Source organism: Homo sapiens, chromosome 6 (genome assembly GCF_000001405.40).
Source record: "Homo sapiens chromosome 6, GRCh38.p14 Primary Assembly".
NCBI lineage: Eukaryota > Metazoa > Chordata > Mammalia > Primates > Hominidae > Homo > Homo sapiens.
This window is the reverse complement of record NC_000006.12, coordinates 158,394,870-158,422,355: the sequence shown is the minus strand read 5'-3', so window position 1 is coordinate 158,422,355 and position 27,486 is coordinate 158,394,870. Positions and strand designations below refer to the sequence as shown.

General features: G+C 41.7%; 1 protein-coding gene across 14 annotated transcripts in view, besides 1 other annotated feature; it reads right to left on the bottom strand.

The window, feature by feature from the left end:
* Window positions 1–27,486, bottom strand: part of TULP4 (TUB like protein 4) — a 279,634-nt gene that overhangs the window by 89,473 nt on the left and 162,675 nt on the right. For all 14 annotated transcript variants that reach the window (XM_047419082.1, XM_047419087.1, XM_047419084.1 and 11 more), the window contains one exon: window positions 9,163–9,291. In XM_047419082.1, the coding sequence (XP_047275038.1) occupies window positions 9,163–9,291 (129 nt within the window). The remainder of the gene's footprint in view (window positions 1–9,162; window positions 9,292–27,486) is intronic.
* Window positions 9,256–10,455: an enhancer, noted in NCBI's record as "CDK7 strongly-dependent group 2 enhancer chr6:158832933-158834132 (GRCh37/hg19 assembly coordinates)". NCBI's record gives its function as "activates an origin of replication core promoter dependent on BRD2, BRD4, P300/CBP, MED14 and CDK7 cofactors, with strong dependence on CDK7, by STARR-seq in HCT116 cells {active_cell/tissue: HCT116}" and the evidence as "EXISTENCE:reporter gene assay evidence [ECO:0000049][PMID:35650434]".

Below are 27,486 nucleotides of genomic sequence, written 5' to 3'. Positions count from 1 at the left end.
TCCCCCATTGAACTACCTGCATCTTATAATTTACGTTTGGTTACCTTGTAATCTCTATTTATAGCTATGCCCAATTTTTCATTCATAAAATTGTTTATTTCTGTGTTCTTCTCTTGATCAGTTTTGCAAGACATCTGTCTATTTTGTTGATTTGTTTCCAAAGAACTAATTTTTGGATTTGTTGATCTCTACCTTATCATTTTTCCCTATTGTACTAATTTTCACTTTCATTTTTATTATTTCTTACTTTTTCTTTCATTGGATTTACTCTCCTTTTCAATTAATAATATTTTAAGATAAATACCTATCTGACCAATGATCACAGTTTTATTGCTAATATAAGTAATTAAGGATATACATTTCTCTCACAGCACCACTTTAATCATATCTCACAAATTCCGGTATACAATGAAGGACTAAATTCTTATTCTTTTACCTTGCCCAAATTCCTATCTAAGGGGTCTGGGGAGTCATGCCCTACAAATCATAAACTCTCATCACATAGGTTGGGTTTTATTTAACACTATATATCATGATTTACTTTCCAACCTCACTCTGGCGTAACATTACAAGACAAGAAAATAAAAATATTTTACCCCAAAACGTGCTTCTTTGCCATATTTTGAAATGGCCCTACAAAGCTGTTCTTTGTGGGGAAAAATTTGCATCTGTAAAGAATCTCTATTAACATCGCTAGATCTTTTGATTCCAGACCCTCCCAATTCTAAAGAGACTACCTAAAATCTGAATAGGAAACATTTGTCATCCTACTGTCTCTAAGGACAGCCACTATAAGACTGCAAAAGAACTTTGGGCTGCACAAAATTTTATTTTAACCTGAACATTATCTTTCTATCAATCCCGGGTCTTCAGACAAACTCAACCAATTGTCAACTAGAAAATATTTAAATTCACCATAGCCTGGAACCTCCCGGACCCCTTTGAGTTGTTCTGCCTTTCTGGACCAAACCAATGTATTTCTTTTTTTTTTTTTGAGACGGAGCCCCGCTCTGTGGCCCAGGCTGGAGTGCAGTGGCGCGATCTCGGCTCACTGCAAGCTCCGCCTCCCGGGTTCACGCCATTCTCCTGCCTCAGCCTCCCGAGTAGCTGGGACTACAGGCGCGTGCCACCACGCCTGGCTAATTTTTTTGTATTTTTAGTAGACACAGGGTTTCACCGTGTTAGCCAGGATGGTCTTGATCTCTTGACCTCGTGATCCGCCCACCTCAGCCTCCCAAAGTGCTGGGATTACAGGCGTGAGCCACCGCGCCCGGCCACCAATGCATTTCTTAAATGTATTTGATTAATGTCTCACGCCTCTCCAAAGTGTATAAAAACCAAACTGCGGCCCGACCACTTTGGGCACATGTTCTCAGGACTTCCTGAGGGCTGTGTCATGGGCCATGGTCACTCATGTTTGGCTCAGAATAAATCTCTTCAAATATTTTACAGAGTTCGACGCTTTGTTGACATGTTTTCATTATAATTTAGATCTAGGATTTTATAAATGTCTATTAAACATATTCTGTAAACCATGAGCTATTTAACAATATATTTTAAAATGCCTAAATAGGCCGGGCGAGGTGGCTCACGCCTGTAGTCCCAGCACTTTGGGAGGATGTGGAAGGTGGATCACCTGAGGTCAGGAGTTTGAGACCCACCTGGCCAACATGGTGAAACCTCGTCTCTACTAAAAAAAAACAAAAATTAGCCAGGTGTAGTGGCGGGTGCCTGTAATCCCAGCTACTCTGGAGGCTGAGACAGGAGAATCGCTTGAACCCGGGAGGCAAGGATTGCAGTGAGCCGAGATGGCGCCATTGCACTCCAGCCTAGGCAACAAGAATGAAACTCGGTCAGAAAACAAAACAAAACAAAAAACAGACAGGGATCTCTTATCTCGTCGTTATTAACTTCTAACCCAGTTGCACTGTGTTCAGAGATCGTGGTCTATAATCATCATGCCTGACACTGGAAATCTGTTTTTTATTTAAGTCGTAGAACAGGGATTGGCAAGCTATGGCCTGTGAGCCAAATCTGACCTGTCACCTATTTTTGTATGGCCCACAAACTGAGAATGGTTTTAAGTGGTTGAGAAGAAAAAAATCAAAAGAAGAATGATATTTTGTTATTTGAAATTACATAAAATTCAAATTTCAGTGTTCATAAATCAAATTTTAAATTTTGTCAATAAAAATCTTTTGGAAATCTGATTTTCCTCTTGTTATATGATACCTATATAATATCCTCAATTTTGGCTCCTTGTCCACAAAACCTAAAATATTTACTATCTGACCCTTCACAGAAAAGGTTTGCAGAATCCTGCCCTAGAATATGATCAATTTTTATAACCCTTCTGTGTTTGAGAAAAAAGTATGTTGTCTAATTGGTGAATTAAGAACCTATAAATGTCCTTTAGGTCAAGCTTGTTAATTGTGTTGCTCAGATCATCTACATCTTTGCTGACTGTCGTTAAAATGTCTGAGTATGTCAATGGATTTATCAATTTTTCCTTTCAGTTCTATTAGTTTCCTTCACTTATTGTGATGCTATTAATAAGTGTATACATATTTAAAATATGCTCTTGGTAAACTACAGCTTACCAAATAATCCTTTCTGTCTTCTACGAACCAAATAATACTTTGTCTTCAAATCTACTTTATCTGATACTAACATACAGCTACATCAGCTTTATTTTTTTTCTTGGTATTTGCAAGATACATCTTTCTCATCCTTTAAATGTGTTTATGTCCTTAAGTTTGAGGTGTGGCTCTAAACAAGATATACTGTTATCTAGATTTTTACAAATGTAATCTGCTAAGCTGTATCTTTTGATTGGTAAATTTAATCCATTTACATTTATTCTAATTAGCATTATATTTGTTCCTGTTTTCTACCACCTTGGTTTACTTTTTCAATTTGTCCTACATTGTGTTTCTTTTTAATCTTATCTAACAAAACAAATGCTATCTATAATCTTCAATGTTGCTTATAGCTACAAACATTTAGCTTTTTAAAAAATCTATGGTATTAATGGATATATTACATTTCAGGTAATGAGAAAATAAATGAACAAACACCAAAAGAACATGAACTTCTTGCTGTTTTTCAAGTAGGGGTTATGGGTTTATGTTGTGTTATCAGCAATGTCTCTATCATGACAATGGCATGGTTTGTGAGATAGCTCTTGAATAGCTGGTCTGAGATTACTGAAAAAAGTTGTTTCCTCAGATAAACTCAGAACCTTGGCTTTACTGACTTTATGTTCCAACCAATTATACTGTCTGGTTTTTCTCATTAACATAAAACAATGTTTTTCAGAAACAACGCATTACATTCTGGAATAAAAATAAAAAGCTCTTTCATTTTGCAAAGATAATGCTATTTACTTACATGCATTTTAACTATGTATTTTAAAAAAGATTTGTACTAAAAGAGAAAACTATTTTGGGAAATCTCCTTAATCCATAGCCAAAACACATAGCCAGTAAAATGAAGCTTCTTAGAGATACCAGCAATTTTACATCACACAAAAAAACTGGTAATAGAGGATGTTCACATGGACTAATTGGGTTTCTGTTTATTTGTCTAGAGACTTGGTCTTGCTTTGTTGCCCAGGCTGGAGTGCAGTGGCACAGTCATAGTTCACTGCAGCCTCAAATGGATTGCTCAAGCAATCCTCCCATTGCCGCCTTCCGAGTAGCTGGGACTACAGGGTTGTGAAACCATACCAAGCTAATTTTAAAACTATTTTTGTTGAGATGAGGTCTTGCTATATTGTCCAGGCTGATCTTGAACTCTGGTCACAAGAGATCCTCTTGACTCAGTCTCCCAACTAGCCACTTGGCTCAATTTGGGTTTATTAGGTCAACATAATGTGATAAGACTATATCACAACTGGAAAAACAAAACCAGAGAAAACCAAGTATCGAATTGCTTAAAAAAAAAAAAAAAAAAAAGTGGTGGCTCATGCCTGCAATTCCAGCACTTTGGGAGGCCAAGACGGGTGGATCACCTGAGCCCAGGAGTTCAAGAACAGCCTGGGCAACATGGTGAAACCCTGTCTCTACTAAAAGTATAAAAAAATAGCCGGGTGTGGTGATGCATGCCTGTAATCCCAGCTACTTAGGAGGCTGGGGCAAAAGAATTGCTTCAACCCGGGAGGTGGAGGTTGCAGTGAGCCGAAGATGCGCCACTGCACTCCAGCCTGGGTGACAGAGAGACCCTGTCTCCCCCGCTCCCAAAAAAAAAAAAAAAAACACACACACACAAAAAGGCAGAAACTCCAGTTCTTTTAGTTTTTCAACTGCAGAAGGTTGCAATGCTCTTGCTTTACTAAAGAGTTCTCAGGCATGGATTAATTGAAGCTGAGCAGCAGGCTGACCATGCCATTGACCCAGGCAGCTTTTCATCAGACTGTCTCAGAGTGTGTGTGCCTGGTACAGCCGCCCCTGGTGACTAATACTGTAAAATAATGCATGTACTGTTCCAAACTCATTTTTGAAATAAAGGACTCTTAATCATTTCCTGAAAAAGAAATTGTTAAAGCATCTCTTAGCTTTTGCCAAATGTTTGATTACTTTGTGACAATGAAAAGCATGCTATATAATGAAAATAATCTGTCATTTCTTCTAAAAAGTAGTCTTTTTCTCTGAGCTGGTTTCAAGGACACTCCTCTTCTAAGCCACAGAACTTTTCCAGGTGCAGAAAGCCACCAGTTCCTTGACCAGTGATCCATCGTCACCAGTGTGTGGTGTCCTTTTTAGTCGGGTAAGATCTGACTCCAACACGATTAAAGGCAACCAAGCCTCCCCCAGAATGCCACTGTTTAATGATGACAGTTGCTCAGTGGGTTCTAAGATTTGAAAAATCTGAGTTCCAAATGGCAAAAGTAAACAAAACTCTAAAATGAGATCACAACATACAGTAATTACTTTAGTCAAACCTGGTAGGCAGGCATTTATGAGATTCTGGGTGCTTCCAGATGTTCTGTGGCCCAGGGAAGCTCATTTGCCTCCAGGGCTGAACTCATTCTCCCTTTCTTGTTTCTAATATCTGCTCCAAACCCTCAATGGAAAGAAACACAAGGGAAGTGTTGGATGGTGGTGACTGCACAGCTGCTATGGAGATGATAGAGGGCCCCTGCTCACAGAGGCTACTGCTAGGAGAATCCATGTGCTGGTGGCACTGCTTGGCTGGTAGGGTGGGCCTTTTAATGGTAATGAAGCCTGAGCTCCTTGGGGTATACAGTCATGTCGATTAACAATGGGGATACATTCTAACAAGTATGTCATTAGGCAATTCCCTTGTTGTGTGATCATCACAGGGTGCACTTACTCAAACTTGGACAGTAGAGCCTGCTCCACACCTAGGCTGTATGGGACAGCCTACTACTCCTAGGCTACAGACCTGTACACATGTGATTGTGTTGAACACTGTAGGCAACTGTAATACAATGGCAAGTATTCATGTATCTAAAGCTATCTAAACATAGACAACATACAGTAAGAATACAGTATAAAAGATAAAAAGTGGTTCATCTATAAAAGGGCACTTACCATGAATGGAGCTTGCAGGACTAGAAGTTGCTCTGGGTGAGCCAGAGAGTGAGTGGAGAGTGACTGAAGGCCTAGGACATTACCTTGTAGCTACTGTAGACTTTATCAACACTGGATGCTTAGGCTGCACTCATTTCATTAAAAAAATGGTTCTTTCCTCAATAATGAATTAACCTTAGCTTATTGTAACTGTTTTACTTTTTAAACTTTTCAGTTTTTCAAGAAGTTTGATACTTTTTTTGATCCTTTTGTAATAACACTTAAAACACAAACATATAGCTGTACCAAATTATGTTTTTCTTTATATCCTTATGCTGTAAGCTTTTTCTATTAATTTTTTTTTTCTTTTTAAATGTTTTTGTTAAAAACTAAGACACATATTAGCCTAGGCCTACACCCGGTCAGGATCATTCATATCACTGTCTTCTGCCTCCACACCTTGTCCCACTGGAAGGTCTTCAGGGGTGTGATCGTTAATACTGAGTGTCAAACTTGACTGGACTGAAGAATGCAGAGTATTGTTCCTGGTGTGTCTGTGAGGGTGTTGCCAAAGGAGATTAACATTTGAGTCAGTGGACTGGGAGAGGCAGACCCCCCCTCAATCTGGGTGGGCACCATCTAATCAGCTGCCAGCGCAGCTAGAATAAAGCAGGAAGGAGAAGATGGAAGAATGACTTGCAGAGTCTTCCAGCCTTCATCTCTCTCCCGTGCTGGATGCCTCCTGCCCTCAACATCAGACTCCAAGTTCCTCAGCTTTTAGACTCTTGGACTTACACCAGTGGTTTGCCAGGGGCTCTTGGACCTTCGGCCACAGACTCAAGGCTGCACTGTCAACTTCCCAACTTTTGTGGTTTTGGGACTCAGACGGATCCACCACTGGCTTCCTTGCCCCTCAACTTGCAGACGGCCTATCATGGGATTTTACCTCGTGATCGTGTGAGTCAGTTCTCCTTCAAAAACTCCCTTTCATATATACATCTACCGCATTAGTTCCACCCCTCTAGAGAACCCTAACACAAGGGGCAGTAACATATCCACGGAGCTGTCATCTCCTATGATAACAATGCCTTCTTCAGGAATACCTCCTGAAGGACCTGCCTGAGACTGCTAACTTTTTTTTTTTTTTTTAATAAGTAGAAGCGGCCGGGCGCAGTGGCTCATGCCTGTAATCCCAGCACTTTGGGAGGCTGACGCGGGTGGATCATGAGGTCAGGAGATCGAGACCATCCTGGCTAACGTGGTGAAACCCCATCTCTACTAAAAAAAAAAAAATACAAAAAAAAATTAGCCGGGCGTGGTGGTGGGTGTCTGTAGTCCCAGCTACTCAGGAGGCTGAAGCAGGAGAATGGCGTGAACCCGGGAGGCGGAGCTTGCAGTGAGTTGAGATCGTGCCCCTGCACTCCAGCCTGGGCGACAGAGCGTGACTCCGTCTCAAAAAAAAAAAAAAAAAAGAAGCACACTCTATCTAAAATAATAAAAAGTACAGTAAATACCAGTAACATAGTCATTTGTTATTATCAAGCATTATGGACTGTACTAATGGCATGTGCTATACTTTTATACAGCTGGCATCACAGTAGGTTTGTTCACACCAGTAACACCACAAACACGAGTCATGTGTCATGCTGCAGTGTCACTAGGTGATAGAAATTTTTCAGCTCCATTACAACCTTATGAGATCACCGTCGTATATGCAGTCTGTGATAACTGAAACGTCATTATGCAGCATGTAACTACACTATGAATACACGCATCTCTGCCAAAAGAGAAAATCATTTCTTGTTTGGGAACATGACAGTGTGGTGGAGCATTACAGACTCAAACAAACTAGGGTTTGAGTTCTGGCTTACCACCCATGAACTTCCTTGGACAAGTTACTCAACTCCTGACCTGGATTCTTCTCTTCTATTAACTGAGAATAATGATATTTTTGGAACAGGGTTCCTGGAGACTGAAAGATATAACGCATGAAAAAATCAAGCACTCATTTGGCATTTATCCTTGCTCCCCTTCCATTTCCTTTTCTGAGCAGTGATTTCAAGTCCTCTGGCCACCCTAAATCTGAAGATATGTCTCACCTCATCACTGGGCCTTTCTAGGGAAGAGAATCCCATGCTTTAGTTAATGGAAGAATGACAGCATTTTAGAACCTTTACAGGCCAACTCGGAGAGGCGGTCATTTCACAGAAACCAAGAAAAGCTGCTACCTCAAGGCCTGAAACTCATCTTTGGTGATGACCTATGGCTACTGCTTCAGGGCAGGGCAGTTCCATGCCAGACAAGGTGGTAGAACCTCCACATGCTACAGGCACTGTGATAAGATGCAAGCGGTGCCATGGGCACTTTTCATATACAGTCTTATGTAATCCTCTGTGATCCTGAGGCACAGGCAAGTATCTCCCACACAGAAGTCATGGGGTGGGATTTCCGGCCTACATTGTCTGATTCCAGAGCTCATGCTCTTAATCACATGTCCACTCACATGAAGATGTCTACATCTGTGGCTCTCCTTCAAGAAGGCCAGTTAATGGTCAAGGGGCAGGCTCTGAAGGAGCCTGAAGGAAACTGGTAAGGCCTTATCAGTCAGTCAATATTATTACATTTACTCTACCAAATCAACTCAGAAAAAAATGCTGTTTTCACACAGGGTCTTCTGTGATGATATCTTACAGAAATCCTCGGCCTGCTAATAGCCGCTGACAATAATGTCTTCATTCATTGTAATTTTATGTCACTTGACTGATCTGTAGCTTAGGAAGCTCACAGCTTATTTAAGCAACAGGTGGGCGAGGGAAGGATGAGAATCCAAGTACCTTAGAAGTGTATAGAAAGGCAGCCACAGGGAAATCATTCTGAGAGTTAAAATAGTCCAAGAAACCCCTCATTAATTATTAATTGACATCCCCTGAGGATTCAGGTTCTTAAGTCCCAGTTTTGTACAATCCCCAGGATGGGAGCTGCCTGCTCCAATGTGTGTCCTTAAACCCATACAAAAGGTGCACCATGAAGCCGTCCTGTAAACCAGAACAATCTATGGAGCAGTTCTAGAAACAGCGCAGCTCAGCAGGCTGTCCTGGGTGCAACTGTTTCCTGAGAGCAGAGACAAACTGTGTCAGAAAGGAAGAGCTGGAGGATGACAACAGGAGGCCGTGCTGATTGAAGCCTGTGGAAGAGATTGTAGCACCCTTTCCTTGTTGAGCAGGTTGTGAGAAGTCACGTGAAGCTCTCCATGAGACCGCTGAGATGACAACACAGGGAAGATACCTTTCGAAGGGGGCAAAACAGTGATATGCCAGAGGCCCCAAATTTAACATGGAATCACAACACTGAAGGGTAAAAAATGACTTCACAGATCTGATTAAAGTTTGAAAGTTGGAGAGTTCTCACAACAGCAGCATGGTTGAAAAGGGGGCATGATCCTGTACTCTTTTTATCCAGTGACATATGTGAGAGAAATGAAAAGTAGGATTCTAATTTGATTGATTTCTCTTCCCCCAGCTCTGGAGCACGTGGCGCTGTGTGGTGCTAACGCACTGGCTCCGGAATGCCTGTCTGGGAGTCCTCTACCCCGCAGCCCTTCACTGGCAGAGCTGCGCCTGCCACTCACCTGCGCCCCGCGGTCGTTGACCAGCTCCACAGACCACCTGCCCTCGTACTGAATCCACACGAATATGCCTCCGTCCGCATCGCACGTGGCCAGTTTCTGGTAGGGCTCATTCCACCTCACCAGCACAACCTAGAAAACCACCAAGAAGACATTTACCACAGGAAATAAATCTGTGGGCCAGGATTATTTCTGTGATGTGATCAGACTTGAACTAATTAGAATGCAGTCAATAAAGGGAGAAGACTGGGGGCGAATGCAGGGATCAGGGCAGGGAACAGACAGAGCTCACACGAGAGTCCACAGGGAACCAGCCCCACTGACACGGCTTCCTAACAATGAGAGACAGTGCGAACATGCCCACTACTACAAAAACAAAGAGGCGACCTGGGGCCCATCCGCACCCAGCACCTGCCTCTCAGATGGTCCTTCATCTGCTAGTCCTGTGCTGTGGGGAAACTATTTTAACAACATTTACTATGGATTTGAATCAGGGTATTATTTATTTAGTATGGAAAGAGGAAAGGGTGAGTACTATTTAGGTTCATTTTCCTCCAGAAGCAAAATTTTCCGTATCTAACTTATTTCTGAATAGTTTAGCATCTAAATCATCTAAATGTGGTTAATTTGGAAAAAAAAATACATACTTGAAAAATCTAAGTTGTTTACGATTTATCACAGAGGAAATAACAAGAAATTATAAGCTTCAAATTTTCTGAGTATAAGAACTTTGTTTTTTAATTTGAAAAATTCTGATCACTTATCTAAAAAGGTAGCAACTCGGCTAGGTGGCTTTTGAGAATAGGTGAGTGCCGGAGGAGTCTGAGGGAAGCCTCACAGGGCCCAGTAAAAGTAGCGAGGGACTGAGGGTTATGGAATGGTCCCCGGACACCATGAGCCACCAAACCAACACGGCAGGGCTCACCCTGGAGAATGTTCCCTGAGGCTGTTCCTGATTGGCCCATCCTGGTAATCATGAATTAATTCAGTCTGACACATTCAGCACACATTTTTTACATTCATGCTATGTGACTAATACTGAGTTGGTGGCTATGAAACACACCTGTTGTTCTCAGGTAAGTTCCAGCTGGGAAGTCAGAACCTCCAGACATGCAGCTAGATACTGACATATATCAATAAAATAAGAGCTATTACTAACCAGGCAAGAGTACTCTTGCTATGAATAAAAGAAGATTTGAACCCTTGTCTACTCCCAGCATTTTGTGCCTAATAGCTAATTATAATAGTTGTGAACATGTGGCACTGGTGTTAATGGTTTCCAAATTCTAATTTATATCTGAAAATAAAAAGGACTGATAGTTAAAGACTTCCACAGTGCCCAGGACCCTCCTCACACCCTCTGTCCAAAGTACAATTTCTGCTTTCAGACCAACACATAAACCCCGGGACTTCTCAAAGCGATGCCATGGACACACCTGATTTTAGGTCTTTAAACTTGTGTCTAGGGCACCAGAGGGCTAGGAGGAACCCCCAGGAATCACCTGATTTAGTGTGCCTTGAGCAGCCTTGGTTGGCCACACTTGGTGTTATCTGCACTTGTTGTAAAATGTATAATAAAATCAAATTTTTCAAGAGAAATTATTACCCACTTAAAGTGTGAAGAATATCATAGCTCTTTTTTAAAACTGCAAAAATCAGAGGCAGCTGTGAGGTTGCAATCTTTTGAGACCTGGTGATCACTAGAAAAACTGAATCCAGTTGATGGCTCACCTTGCATGGATGTGGACACTGAGAACTCCCAGGTGGCCCCATCTAGCGGAATCCTCTCTGTTGAGACCCTCTTCCTTGCTCTAGTCATAGCTCTGTGGATGCAGTGCTTACAGAACTATCAGCTTGTGAACACCACCCACCCCCCACAGGTCTGTGCTGCTTGAGGAAAAGGACAGAGGCATGTTCACCTTTGAATACTGACACACAGCAATTATGAATATATTGTGCAAACAATAATATATCATTAGAAGTTGTAATCCTTGTTAACTTATATCTTTGAACTATATAGAAGGTATTGGAAACTATTTCAAGTAGTTTACTTTTTTTTTTTTTTTTTTTCACTTTTACCTAAGTTGGCCTCGACCGCATAGCCTCGCCTCCTTGTACGCCAGGACAACCGGCTGGAGCCACCGCAGCTCCCTCAAGTAGTTTACTTTCAATTCCCAAAGGCATTTGAACAACAGCATATACTGCCTGCCTGCCTATGATAAACCAGACATTGTTAGGTGCCAAGGACCGCGATTAGGACATCTTGTCTCCCTGGAGTTCAGTTTCCTAAACAGACATTAATACAGTCCTTTGTACACAGACAAAGGAGGGGGCTCAACTCATGTGGGGAGCAGGGCAACAAACCCAGATTCATTTTTTTAGCTTAGTTTAAAAAATCCTGTATTAGAATTACTGATTTTTTTTTAAGTTAGACCAACATCAACAAAAGTCCTTAAATGACATTGAACATGTCATAAAATTTAGGATTTCCAAATGGTAAATAAAAGCCCACTTCACAGACATCTTTCAGATCTGCCAATGATTTGACCCAAGCACTAGAATCCACAAATGTGCATGTGGCTACAATTTGGTCCCTAACACATTAGTTATTTAAGCCCATAGTCACTCATGTACTTCAGAATGGCCACTGTGGAATAGAACATGACAAATTAAGAACACGATGTTCATGACTGATCAGTTTTTAAATTATTTCCTTATTTAAATGTAATACCAATGAATACTCATCCACTATGACTCTCTCTGTAAAATAATACTTGATGACAAGATGTCATACTCCAGAGGAGAGAGGCTAGCCACATTTACATTTTTGCCTTTAATATCCATCAAAAACAAACCTCTCCATGAAAAAGGCTGCACAGTCACAGCATGACACAAACACAAAAGAGTGGAGGCAAAACATATTTTTAAATGATTTCTAATGTGAAATTGAAGATTTTTTGGTCTTATGACAACACAGTTGCCATTGTTGGATAAACGAAATGTTCACAGACTCAATTTCATCTTTTAGAAATTCTTAATCAGTGGCCAGGTGCGGTGGCTCACGCCTGTAATCCCAGCACTTTGGGAGGCAGAGGAGGGCAGATGACGAGGTCAGGAGATTGAGATCATCCTGGCTAACACGGTGAAACCCCGTCTCTACTAAAAATACAAAAACTAGCTGGGCGTGGTGGCGGGCACCTGTAGTCCCAGCTACTCGGGAGGCTGAGGCAGGAGAATGGCATCAACCCGGGAGGCGGAGCTTGCAGTGAGCCGAGATCATGCCACTGCACTCCAGCCTGGGCGACAGAGCAAGACTCCACCTCTAAAAAAAAAAAAGATTCTTAATCAGTTGAGATGCAGCAGTACATGGAAACATAGTCCCATTTACATACTTTGCTAAGAGTTCCAACTAGTATAAACGAAAAGGTGAGTAACACCCTTAAATTAGAGACAGAAATCTTTCCAGTGATTTTTGGTTTAAAAATAAAGCCAAACTGCTAATGCTGTTATTCTCATTTCCTCCCCTGTCTATAATTCACAGCTGCAGCCTTATCTCCCAGTAGCTTACTTCCTGTTCTCTAAATCCTTCCAGCCTATTTGGCAATGTTAGGACACACCAGAATGTTGAGGAATTACCAGCTGGGGGCCAGCTGGGTTCTCAGTTGCCCGAATTTTGTGCTATGGGGCCATGGATCTGCGCAGTTATCCAGGTATAGAGCTTCCCTTCCCTTTTCAAGGAGAATGTGACTCTCGTTGACTCTCAGCACCAAAGAACTTCTGTCTTGGGGTATTAGCTAAAGTGTATGTTCTTTGACTAAGAAGTCAGAGGAAAGGGTTAGTTTTGACCTAGGCCTTTGATGGTTCAAAAAGATACCAACCTATTACCCTCTCCAATATAAGACATGTTCTCTCATTTTAGAGTGTTACTATTATCAGTGAAGTTATTAAAGGCAGGAAAATCTACACAAAAAAACATAGGGCAGAACTGCAGAAAGCCTACATTTGGGCCATAATCTAAGGCCCTAAGTCAGTCACATCACTTCTTACACCTAGAACTACTTTTAGGGAAGGCAAAACAAGCATCACTTTGCCCATCCCAAGGACGTTCATCTTCTGAGTCAGGAGCCCTCCAAAGGGTGTTGATAGATTTACACAAGAAGCCATCTCAGGGAACAACCAATGTCATCACTATTCAGAAGGATTTCTCTCAACCTAAAACAAATGTAATTTGAATGAACACTAAATACACACAGCTCAAGGAAGAAATCCCTGTGATTATCACCACTCTGTTCTTCTTATTCTGCAATTTATTAAGTGAACCAGCAACAACTACAATTGTGCAAGAAAAACAAAGTGATTGCCAATTTAATTGTAGACACATGTGGTCATTTTAACGAACCAAAAGCACCCTGAAAAGGAGGCTGGAAGAAATTCAACTAGAACAATGGTTCTGCAGACTGCTGCCCCCAGAGATGTCACCGGGAGGTCAGTGGTGAGGAAGGCGGGCTCTGGAGTCTGGCTGCCTGGCTCTGACTCCGGGCCTCGTCATTCACTCACCAGCTGCACAGCTGTGGCCACCAGGACCCTCTTGCTGCCCCTTTCCTCGTCTGCTTGACGCAAGCCATGGTAGCACACCCCTCACGGAGTTGTGAGGAGTATCTTAAGAAAGGACCTCAGACCGGGGCCAGGCACACCGCAAACATTCAGCAAATGAGAGCTCTGTGTTATTAATTCACAAACTCAAAACTCCAGAAGATAAAGACTGCTTCAGCACAGTATTTACATATACAGTTTCCTCTTTAATAAAAGATAAATGTTTTGAAAGGTAATCTCCCTTTCCAGACCTGTCTCCCACCACTTGCACCCCTTACCCAACTCTGTAACTTAAAAAGCAACATCACCACATGCTTCGTGCCACCCTTGGCCAGGAACACCCTTCTGCCCCTTGCCGCCTGGTGAGTAAAGCCTTCCCTGAAGTTCCAAGCACTCCCGCTTGCTCTGCGTGCAGCACCTTCTGCACAGTCCCGGCCCATACGGTACACTGCGCTCCGTCACACAAATGTTCCACACCAGACTGAGAACTTTGTAGCTTTTGTTCTATTAAACTATTCTTGAAAGATGATTAACCGTTATCTGTTCCCTCTCTCTCTCTCAAGAGTAAGATGTTAAAACTGATTCAAATGATAAGGGGTTGGATAACAGCTTTATTGGGACAAAATTCACATATGTAATTCACCCATTGTCAGTGTACAATGCAATGGTTATTAGTATATTCACAGAGTTGTACAACCTTTACAATATGTTTTAGAACATCTACCTCAACCCTCAAAGCCCTGTACTTTTTAGCTACCACCAACCAACCCCACAATATTTCCCTCCAGCCCTAAGCAACCAATTCTCTGTTGTTACAGATTTGCCTACTCTGGACATTTCATATAAAAGGAATCATACGATATGTTCTCTTTTGTGACCGGCTTCCTTCTCTTAGCATGTTTTCAGGGTTTATCCATGTTGTACCATGTATCAGTGTTTACCTTTTAAATATAGCCCAGTAACATTCCATTGTATTGAGAGACCACATTTTGTTGATCTGTTCATCAACTTTTAGCTATTATGAATACTGCTATGAACTTTTGTGTGCAAGTTTTTTTTTTGTATAAACATGTTTCATTTTTCTTGGGTCTATACCTAGGAGTGGAGTTGCTGGGTCAAATGATAATTCTATGTTCAACTTTTTGAGGAACTACAGGACTGGTTTCCAAAATGATGCACCAACTTACATCCCCACTAGCAATGGCTGAGGTTCCCAGTTTCTCCAAATTCTAATACTTGCTATTGCCTGTCTTCTAAAAAATGACAGCCACCCTGGTGAGTGTGCAGCAGTTTGATTTGTGTTTCCCTGATGGTTAATGATGCGGAGCATCTTCTCATGTGCTTGGTGGCCATTTGTGTGTTTTTTGAGAAATGTCTATTCAGATTCTTTGCCCATTTTTAGTTGGGTAGTCTTTACTATTACTGAGTTTCTCTTAAGCCCTCTGAAACACTAACTACATGTGAAGAAAACTTTAGATTTTACTTTCAGATAGCCAAATTTATTTCTGTCATTTGAATGTTCACAAATCCAGTTCTCATTCAAACACAATTCAGTTAATCTCAGTTGGTTGGCAAGAATCTGTGAATGAAATGGCCTAGAGATAATACAGGAACTCAGAAAACAGATCTGTGGTCAAAGCCCTGGAATCTGGGGACCGCCGTGCCTCTAACCAGTTCTGAACCTGCATGTGCTGGGGGGTGACCTTCTAGTCCCAGCTTCCTTAGGACATGTACCAGGAAACACAGTTACACATTCCTTCCTGTATTTTCCAAACTTTTTTGTCAGAAAATAATATATCTTCTTATTGGATAGAGTTTATATTATTAGCCAGGCCTGAATTAGGAAAAAGTGAACTCCACACCAAATCTGATATGAATGCGAAACTACCATTCCATGCTTCTCATCTATTAAGTGGCAGCAAGATTCTTCCATTAAAGCAAGATAAAACAATGCTGAAGAGCTACATTATAATTACGGTCTGGAGGAAACCCAACAGTTAATACTTTCATCTTTTGACCATATTCAGGCATTCATCTGCCTCAAAATCCTGTGGAATAGTACCCCCTATGACTCTAACTTCTATTCTTTTCCACTCATCATAGCTGCAAACTCCTGAGTAAAAATTCTACTGGAAAGTATGTTCAATCACATGCACTATTCATTGAGGTTGCAAATCACTTTGAAAACTTGTGAAATTCACATTTTTCCTCATCACTTCTTTTCACTCACTCTCAACTAAATACCCTTGGTGTATCTAGTAGTTATTAGTATTAATAGTTAATTTAGAGCTAAAACAGACATCTGTTTAGCTCTAAACATAAATGTTTAGTGCTCTGGCTCACAGATGAGGAAAGGTAGGCTAATGAGGTGAATAAGCTTTCCTAAGGTCACAAAGCAAGTTCAAGGTTAGGTCAGGGTCCAAGAGGCTCTGTCTTCTCTCTCTTGTTCAGAGCACCTGTTAACCAAGCTGTCACCTGTGGCCGTCAATCACTCAGCCAATGAGTATTCAGGAAGCACCAAACAGGTGCATTCAGGGAGGACACAAAGAGGGGAGAGACGCCTGCCCAAGGAGCACCTGGTGGAACACTCAGAGGAGCCACTTCATTCTTTGCTTTTTAAGCATGTGTTCTTGCTGTCATACTTCTACAATGCAAAAATGTCCTAGAAAACAACTGTATCAATTAGTTCTGGTTCTGAGGAAAGAAAATAAAATCACACTAAAGAGAAATAAACTAAGACGTTCCTGGTGGTGTGTGTTGGGAGACGCCGAGGCAAGGCTTGTACGTCTGACATAATGTAAAAGATTCTTGGAACATGTCCGGGATCCAGGGTCTAAAACTCCTTGTGGCCTTTGGAACGCCAAGCTCTGTGCTAAAGGGTGGAAGGCTACCCTGACGCACCATAATCTCAGCCCAGGGCATAAAAACCCCTTGTGGCTTGGATAGAATCCAGGGCTCGTGGCTCTGGAATGTGTCTAGACTTGCTGGCTCCTTGCTCCTTGCTCCTTGCTCTCCCAGGATCGATTGTATCTTGAGTTAAAAGAACCTGCTCTCCATTATCTCAAGTAGCAGAGCATATGCTAAACCGTCACAGCTGTAAATCATGTGCTTAATGCAACGGTGCCCTTTTGACCCCCACATTCTCAACACCTGTTTGATCACCAATAAATAGTCTGGGCTCCCAGAGCTCGGGGCCTTCGCAGCCTCTACACACTAGCGATGGCCCCCTGGACCCACTTTCTCTCTCAAACTGTCTTTTCTAATTCCTTTGACTCCGCTGGACTTCGTCACCCCCACGACCTGGTGTTGGGTCTGATCACCCCAACAGGTGTGTTATAAATGATTTTTAAACTTTTCCTTATTTTCTGATTTTCCCACAATGACCATATTTTACTTCCATCTTCTCATACGTCTGAAAAAACTATCTTGTTAGACAGTGAATTTAAACAATGTATTTCAGCAACAATAAGTTTAAGTCATTTTTACATACATTATTTTACATAGCTTATTTTAGCTCCACAAACATCTTAGAAGGAGGTACTGCCATGACTATTACCTTGTTTCAGGTAAGTGAAGCTGAAAGAAGGTTAAACTCTCTCCATAGACTTTTTTTTTAACTTAAAAATCTTAGGCAATATTTATGACATATATAACAGTTTAAAGAAAAATTTACTATGAAATGTTCTCATTCGGCTTAAAATATCACCAGTACTATCCAGAGCCCTCTGTATTCCTCTCAGACCTCAATCTTTTCTTGTCTGAGGAAAAAAATGACCTTATGGATATTTCATGTTTTTAATTCACAGGCATTTTTTTTTTTTTTTTTTTTGAGACAGAGTCTCCTCTGTCGCTCAGGCTGGAGTGCAGTGGTGCAATCTCGGCTTGCTGCAACCTCCACCTCCTGGATTCAAGCAATTCTCCTGCCTCAGCCTCCTGAGTAGCTGGGATTACAGGCGTGCACCACCACGCCTGGCTAATTTTTGAATTTTTAGTAGAGACGGGGTTTCACCATGTTGGTCAGGCTGGTCTCAAACTCGTGACCTTGTGATCCACCCGCCTTGGCCTCCCAAAGTGCTGGGATTACAGGCCTGAGCCACCGCACCTGGCCAATTCACAGGCATTTTTATACCTTAATTATACATGTACATATCCTCAATACATTATTCTTAAGGGTTTTATTTTATATGTTACAGAAAAAATGTAACATACACCAAAGAGATCCCTGGCCTAACATCTTCCAAGCATCTCCATGGAACACTTCAAACCTAAGAAGCAGGTATGGTTAGAAACTATCACTCAATACTTATGAAAGGGCTATGGAACTTTCTACCATCTTTCTGCAGAAGTCAGGATCTTTTAACACCACAGGAGATGCTGCTAGGAAGAAAAATCTAAATGAAAGCTGATCTGTATTGCAGTAGACATTCTGGTCTTCAAGGACATCCAATATCCTAAAAGTACAATGAACTCACCATAAGAAAGGTTCCAGCAAACTGAAGAGAGCCGGAGCATGAGTGGAGACTGACATTTCCACATCAGACATTAGGAGAGTGTGGTGGGTAAGAGCTTTTGATTCTCCCAACTACCATATGATGCAAATGTTGCCATTCTTATCTTCCAAAATAGGAAACTGAGACTTAGGGAGGTTAGGTGTTTTGTCCAACATCCCATAGCCACATGGTAGTGGCACCAACCACTCAAACCTAGATGCAGTTCCTAAGTTTACATGTAAAGACGCCACACACGCACACAAGTGAATTCTAATGAGAAGAGTTGTTGTTGTTTTAGCTAGAAACCTGAACTAGCTGACTGACTACAAGATATCTAGGTGACTAAGGCAAAAGGAACATACCTGAGCAATGAGACGCCCAAATTAAAATACTAGTTAAGCAGGGCTAATTAGAAATGTCCCAGGGTTTCCATAGCGTAGTAATTATCAAGTTTGCCTAACACGCGAAATGTCCCCGGTTCAAAACCGGGCGGAAACAGCTCCTTCTACTTTTTGGGAGGCCGAGGCGGGCGGATCACCTGAGGTCAGGAGTTCAAGACCAGCCTGACCAACATGGAGAAACCCCGTCTCTACTAAAAATACAAAAATTAGCCGGGCATAGGGGCGCATGCCTGTAATCCCAGCTACTCGGGACGCTAAGGCAGGAGAATCGCTTGAACCCGAGAGGCGGAGGTTGTGGTGAGCCAAGATCACGCCATTGCACTCCAGCCTGGGCAACAAGAGCGAAACTCCGTCTCAAAAAGAAAAAGTGTCCCTGGAGACACTCACTGTAGAAAAAGGGCCACCACAAGGAACTTATCCTGGTAGGACAGACTGCAGCTTGGGAAGGGGAACAGTAGAATGGAAGACCAAGTAGGGAATGAGCTAGGGTCCTCACCTGCTTTCAAGCAGAGCTCGGGAGCTCAGTGGATGAGGTGGGCTGCAGAAAGCTGGTCTAGCTCAAGTAGTGCACAGCAAACCACTGGGAAGATTTTTAATGACTTAAATTTCCAGTTAACCATCAGCGTTCCGGCAATTGATGGATATTCATTCCCACAAGTTTTCCAGTATCACTTTTACTGTTCATGTCAGCCACTTGAGAACAAGACTATAAATATATAAACTTGTTTTAAGTAAACACAAAACAAATCATTGAGATGTTTATTGTGTGCTGTTATCGGTTGTTATTCTCCCAACATAAGTTGTCAAAAAAAAAAAAAAAAAAACTCCCAAAGCCAGCATTCTGGCACAGAGATAATTTGCTTTCTAATAACTCCAATAGTCATCATTTATTTTTGGATATAGCTACAAAAATAACCTGAAGACCTTTTACAAAATCAACTGCCATTTCAAAATGTACACTGTATACTTTCTAAACTTAAGGCTTGAAAGCTAACAGCTTAGTTCAGACCTTTAATATGGCATTATCTTCCAAATAAACATGTCTTTAAAAAACTGATCTACAACAAAATGTACAATGTTTTTGAGTTATCAAAGATATTCCAACAATAATGTCTAAAATGCTGGCATCTTACCCCCTTTAATTGGGAAGTGAGAAAGTCCAGTTAATTTTGAGTATGATTCTCTATTCAGAACACCAGTCTTCATTTGTTTTCTCAGACAGTCTGCACTTCCCTCAATTCATACAAATAATTTTGTAACAGTAATGACAGTCAACACTATCTCCCAATTGAATTAAAAGAAAAACCAATCTGTGACTCCATCCACATCCTCTCTAAACTCTAATTCAGATAACAGCTGAGCATTAACCTTGTGCCAGGCACTGGAGATACTGAAAGTTGCAGTCCAGTGTTGCCACACTGGGAATATGACAAAGCTGAAGGGTAACTGAGGGGTGGGGAAGGGGTGGGAGTAGGGTGTGGGGGCATGGGATGCCAGGACAGGAAAAGCTCCCTATGGTGAGTAAAGGAAGAGCTAGGTTTAGGCAATGTTTTGTTTTTTGGTTTTCTTTTAGACTTCTGAGAAGCTCAAAGCAGCTCAAAAGAATTTTATTTAACTTGTCCTCATAATATCCATGGAAACCTTCACAACTTTCTCATAAATCAGGAGGCATTTTGCATACAGAAAAATATACACCGAAGTTTTGTCTAAGACCTTTCCAGCACTTATTTGTAGAGCTAGTGCCAACATTCAGAATCCAAAACATCAGTCTAGAATACCACACTGGTTTTGACTGTTTAATTTTCAACCATATTGAGATACAGATGGAAACACTCTTACAAAAACCAATGATCACTCAAAATTATAAAGAAGTCCTATATATTTTTTAAAATGAAAAAAAAAAAGTGAGGAGGTGTTGTATCCATCTACTAGAGAGCAATTCCAAAAGTACAGAGCTAGTCACAACACTAGCACCTGAGAGGAAATGAATGCAGAGCCAGTGCTCAGATGCACTACAGACGGAGATGAGCTCCTTCATGTCCAGAGCTGACTCTACCTGCCACATGCTTAGAACGGCTTGACCACACCCTGGGCCCACAGCTTGACTCTGCACGGGTTTTCTGCAGTGCTTCCAGATGAAAGAGGCTCGGCACAACTCCATTTTTCATCACTAACTATTGTCTAACATTCACATTTTACTTCTTGAGTTGTGGGTCACTTCACACTTCTGACACACAATATGTTCCACAGATAAAAGCAAACTGCGTGCACACATATGCACTATGTTTTATACAGTTCTTGTTAGTTGCCAGGGAAAAACAGCTTCATAAAAGAGGGCTGGCCAGGTGCGGTGGCTCATGCCTGTAATTCTACCACTTTGGGAGGCCGAGGCTGACAGCTCGCTTGAGCCCAGGAGTTCGAGACCAGCCTGGGCAACACGGTGAAACCCCGTCTCTACAAAAAATACCAAAATTAGTTGGGCATGGTGGTGCGTGCCTGTAATCCCAGCTACTTGGGAGGCTGAGGTGGGAGGATGACTTGAGCTCATGATGTCCAGGCTGCAGTGAGCCGTGATCATGCCACTTCACTACAGCCCAGGTACAAGAGAACCTGTCTCAAAACAACAAAACAACAACAACAACAACAACAACAACAACAACAAAAAACCCAAACAAACATAAAAGGCGGCCAACCTGGAAATACCTGCAGGTTTTATCTTCTTAATCCAGAAAAGCTATTTTCTGCTTACTTACTTGAGTACATAGCCTAGAACACCTGTATCAACGGTTCTCTGCTAAGAACTGAAATATCATTCTTTCACATTATACAGTACATTGTACTGTATAATGTTTGGTTTCCCTACCTCAGGCAGGTACACAGGGGCCAGGCACCATCTATAACACACACCTCGGCTAGCTTACTGAGCTCTGTTGCACACATCCACCCAGGTAGGTGTGCGTCTGAGTTGTGAATCTAGCTCAACTAACTGCAGGAAATGAACAAGTAGTTTTAAAACATCACTGCCAAAAAACCAAAGAGTGAAAATAAAACAAATTAAGCATAAGCAAAAACAAGAAAATGGCAGAGGTGACATTTTTTCTACTCCCAGAATGGATTCTTCACCAGCCATATATGGAGTAAATGCAAAGATGATCTGATCAGATCTGACAAGACATTGGCCAAAAAAATAAAATTATCAAGAAAGAAATGACCAAGATGACCATTTTAGATACGGATCTACACACACACACTACACCTTGAGATGTTACTGTATAATAGAATGAATCCATCTGATTGACAAGACATTAAAAATACTGTACTTCACTGACATCTCATGCTTTCACAATTTCTTTTGGGTTGACTGTAATGTATATACTTTTATTGGCACAGTAGTATATAACATATAAATATGGCATTTATTGGGGTGCCTGTTCAACTTTTTTTAACCGACAGGTACTTATTCAAGAAAAGCCTATAAATCATGCCAATGTATAAAAATACCTTTACAATAATGCACTTCAGTAAATTTTTAAACAATTTACAGAAAATGTTTTTTCAATTTGGTAAACTTTATCAAAATGGTAAATCTCAATAAACTGATCACACAGTTAATTCCAAGTTTATTAGTAAACACTTTATCTGGTTAAATGTGATTTGTGTTATGCAATTCTGAGGCAAAACAGACAATTAGACAACAGCCTACAATGGTAGCTAGCACCTTCTCTTGCCTGAACACTGGGATCTCAACAGCTAAGTTAGAATTACCTGAGTGTCATGGGTGACTGGGAAGTTGGAGGCAGAGAGAAGTAAAGTTCTCAAGCTCTTTTAGAGTGTTCTTTCGTCAAAATCCACATGAATGCTAAAGAACTTTGAGTACAGTGTAAGAGTTCCAAGGATGGGGTCTGATGTCAGACAAATGTGTATGAATTCTGGCTGCGGAACTACTAACTTGGGACTTTGAGCAAGTCTCACCCACAAATAGAGAGGTTGTGAGAAATAAAACAAAAACTGTCTGGCACACAGAAAGATTCAATAAGCGTTATGTATGATTATTTTTTACGTAAAGGTACACATATATGAAGTGCCTGATCTCCCAGCAGCTGGACTTGAAATATGCTCTCAGGCAGTATGGTCTGAGGCCAGCATTTACCACCACCAGTAAGTACACTTCACTGATTCTAACTCAAGTGTGGTCCTTGGACTAGCAGCAGCACCTGCGAGCTTGTTAAAATGCAGAACTTCAGGCTCTACTCCAGTTCCAGTGAATCAGGACCTGCATGTGAACAGGTATTTCACATACACATTGAAGTTTTCAAGGCAATGAACTAAAGGAGAACTAAAAGTCCAAATCATTGGCTGTAACATCATGTAAAATGCTGAAACAGAACTCAGCTGAGGATGAATGGCAAGTGCTTCCTTCCTCAGGTCACTGGATTAGCTGTTCAGCATCTGTAAAAACAAGTGAGATGAAAACTGCCAAGGGTTAGCAAGATAAGCCCATAAGGTCATTCACTGCCTAGAAACAACAATTCTTGCCTCTGCCCTTTTTTCTATTACTTCAAAAGTCCTAAAATAAACTACCAATCTTCAGACTCCTCACTACATTAGGATTTAATCTATATAGCTGCAAAACTGAGGCAGAGAAAAGCATCTATTTTATAAGTGAAAACATCAATCCCTGTAAAAGGAAGTTACTGGCAGTTGCATACACCTGTATCCACACAACGTTCACACACATACACACACAAATCCAGGCTCTTTCTCCCTCAGAAAATGTCTGACAACTCTAAGAGAAAAATAACCCGCACCTCAGACTAATACACTGGCTTGTCACTTAGGGAGTGGCAAAGTCATTTTACCAAAACAAAGCAAATACCAGTACACTGAGAGGTCACATTGGTTTTGTAATTTTGTCAAGGCATTTAAAGATAAGAAAATTCTATTAATGGAAAACAGTTTTATTGAATCTATAGTGGTGGTTCTTACAGAAGAACAATTGAATTTTGTACAAATTGCCTTTCCACCTTAACTAATTATACTAAGCTGCTGTCTCCTATGACCACCTCCTCCACCTCAGAAAGTCTTTTTTAAAAATTAGTAAGAAGGGAAAGGCTGGCATTTGCAGCAATGCAGGCCAGTGCTAAACAGAAGCATCCTCTGACTTCATCGTGAGGTGGAGGCCTTCAAAACCCCAGTGGACAGAGTAAGTGCCCATGCTCCTTCCTCATAGGGCTCACTCCTTAAGGGTAGTGAACTGGGTGAGGGCTGGAGCTTACTCCAGAGATCACAGTGGGTGGGTGAGGAGGAGGGGGAAAGGGGGGACATTGTGAACTAGCCAACAGGAGCCTGCTTGCTCTGGTTGGTAGCTTGGTTTGGAGAACTGCTAAATCTCTTCCCACACCTTGTATGTACTAGGGGATTTATAGTACACAGATAGACTAATGACTGTGGGTTCCAAAAGTATCAGCCACAGTACCCGCTGAAAGAGGCAAAAGGCCTATGGCTGGTATGCTGGGGGCACCAGGTACCTGAGGCATCAGCCCTGCACTGCTAGTGTCTATGGGAGAAAGGCCCAGCACAGACCTATTGTTTTATGGTGCTGTCCTCACTGCCTTACAAAACATCTGTATCTATCCTGTTTTCAGCCTTTTTACTTTCAAATTTCCATAATATATGAAAAAATAGGAGGCCATTAATATATTTTATATACCAAAATAAACCTACTATTTTCAATTAGGTAGGAGCTTAAGATTGCCAATCTACAGAAGCTACATCAGAATTTCACCTTGGCCCAGCTCACCTGTAACTCATACCAGCCCCAGGAACAGGTAAATTGGTTTTGCAGGGTTGAGGCTAAAGGATGACACCACTATCAATCACGAAGAGGCTATGTTTTGCTGCAATGACAAACAATGCCCCAGATCTCACTGGCTTAAAATAGCCAAGGCTTATTTTTTAATCATGCTTCACGGCCACGTGGGCCGGCTGAGGCTCTGTTCTACACTATCTTCACTCAGGCACATGAGTGGGAGAGCCTTTAGTACAGGGGTGTCCAATCTTTTGGTTTCCCTGGGCCACACTGGAAGAAGAATTGTCTTGGGCCACACATCAAAAACAATAGCTGATGACAAAAAACAAACAAACAAACAAACAAAACACCTAACAATAGCTGATGACCTAAAAAAAAAAAATTGCAAAAAAAACTCAATGTTTTAAGAAAGTTTACGAATTTGTGTTGGGCTGCATGAGGCCCACAGGTTGGACAGACTTGCTCTAGTACCTCTTCTGCAGTACCAGGAAGAGGGAGAATGGACACTCAGGCAGAGATTTACAAGGTCTCCACGCATACTCTATTGGACAAGGCCAATTAGCTAAAAACATCTAACCTGACAGGAAAGGAGAAGTGTGATGGTATCCTGTGCCTGGATAGGGGAGAACTAGACAAGTCAGAGTAACAGCACAAGTGACCACATGCTTCCATCCCAGATTCCAGCAGGTACCTGTGACCCTGGCCAGGACTGACCCTTGCCCCTCACTCAAGGGAGTTTCCATAAACTGCTGTCAGATGGACAGACACTTGCTGGTGGTGGTCTTCCAGGGCCATTTCCCATGGATTCCCTCTGGTTGCTCACTACCTGGTTGTCTGTTTCTGCCTAAAATTCACCTTACTATTGAAAATCTCTCTCCTGCTGAGCAAACCTTCTCACCTTCCATAACTGCATCAGCTATTCAATCTCATCATGATCCACTTCCCCACATCCCTAGTTAATGTCATGTAAAACCACGCAGCCCGCCTCTTCCAGCTGCACTCTCATCAGATTACACAGAATAGCCTCCACCGATTTCTCGGGATTCCGAGTGCCAGAACTTGGGGGGAAAGTACATACATTTCTTTAGGGAAGTTAAACCTTTCCTCCTTGTGACTATTTAAATGAAATATCTTAAGTTATATTACAATGTGTATGTATCTGTATAGAAAGCAGCCTAAGAGACATCAATCTGTAAACACTGGTTATTTCTAGGAAGTGGGGTTATGATGGAGTTTTACCTTCTTTTTATGCATTTTACACTTTAAAAATATATATTATTTATATGCTTTCATATATGTAATTACATAAAAATTAGAGAATGCTACATTAAATTCTGTCCATTTGGTATATTTTCTGAGGATCAACTTCATACTAATTAATTCCTTGTATATATATTATTTCCTCCACACTACCTTCTTAAAGTACTGCACCTGAGGTAAGGAAACCAAAAGTTGATTATGTTACTTATTTGATTTGATAAAATGGACCACTGCCTCAAAGAAAACACGCACGGTTTAAGCTCTGTGTAAATATTTCTTCATTGCCTGACTGAATTGCTTTTACGCAAGGGTGATACTAGCCGAGAGAATGCAAGTGACAAGCTGACAAAGAGAGCAGGACAAAAAAGAAGAGCCAACCTGGGTTCTGCCCTCGACATGAGAGAATAGAGGTTGGGGAGAGGAAATACAAAGAACAACAATAATAATAATGGCAGCTAATATTTACTAGGTACAAACACTCTGCTTGGTTCTCTACTAACATTATTGCATATATTTTCTCATTGAACTACGAAGATTATTCAAAATAGCAGGAACTATTTTCCCTACTTTTAGCACTGAGAAAACTGAGGCACAGGAAAATTTCATAATCACAGCTGTTAAATGGTGGAGCCAGGCAATCTGGGTCAAGAGCTCATGGCCCTTAGCATTACACTAACTCACTCGACATCGTATTTCATATTAACTCTAGGAGGACTGTGCAACGTATAAAAATACCAAACCATAGCAAAATCCAGCATAAAACAGAATTGTAGTACATCTTTGAAAAATGACAGACTTCTAAACTTTGAGGCAACGGAAAAAAAAAAATCAAAGAAAAACAGGCTCAACTAGAACTGCATAAATTTAGGTCTGTGGTAGACACTCGTTGTTTCCACATGTTCCCACTCTTGGCTTCCACAACAGAAACAGTGACCCCTAGTCCATCCCAGGTGCTTCTGCCATGACCCCCCCCCCGCCCATCACTTTACCTCAGGGCCAGCCAGCTACATGGAGGACTATGACTCAGGCCAGCCAATCAGGTCTTCCTTTTTTTTTTTTTTTTAGACAGAGTTTTGCTCTTGTTGCCCAGGCTGGAGTGAAATGGCACGCTCTCAGCTCACCACAACCTCCGCCTCCCAGGTTCAAGCGATTCTCCTGCCTCAGCCTCCTGAGTAGCTGGGATTACAGGCAAGTACCACCATGCCCAGCTAATTTTTGTATTTTTAGTAGAGATGGGGTTTCTCCATGCTGGTCAGGCTGGTCTCAAACTCCCGACCTTAGGTGATCCGCCTGCCTCAGCCTCCCAAAGTGCTGGGATTACAGGCATGAGCCACCGTGCCCGGCCAGGTCTTCCATACTTCTACTGACAGTGACTGTTCCAAGGAGTGAGCCACTGGAATCACTGCTGAAATTTTACAGATCAACCCAGGGAAACATGGGATGGTATGGTTTGAATATTTGTCCCCTCCAAAACTCATGATGAAATGTAATCCCCTGATATGATTTGGATTTGTGTCCCCGCCCAAATCTCATGTCAAATTGGAGGAGGGACCTGGTGGGAGGTGACTGGATCATGGGGGCGGATTTCCCTCTTGCTGTTCCCATGACAGTGAGTTCTCACGAGATCTGATGATTTAAAAGTGTGTGGCACTTCCTGCTTGGGTCTCTCTCTTCTACCACCATGTGAAGAACCTTCCTTCCCCTTTGCCTTCCAACTGCATGATTTCAAGTATCCTGAGGCCTCCCAGTCATCCTTCCTATTAAGCCTGTGGAA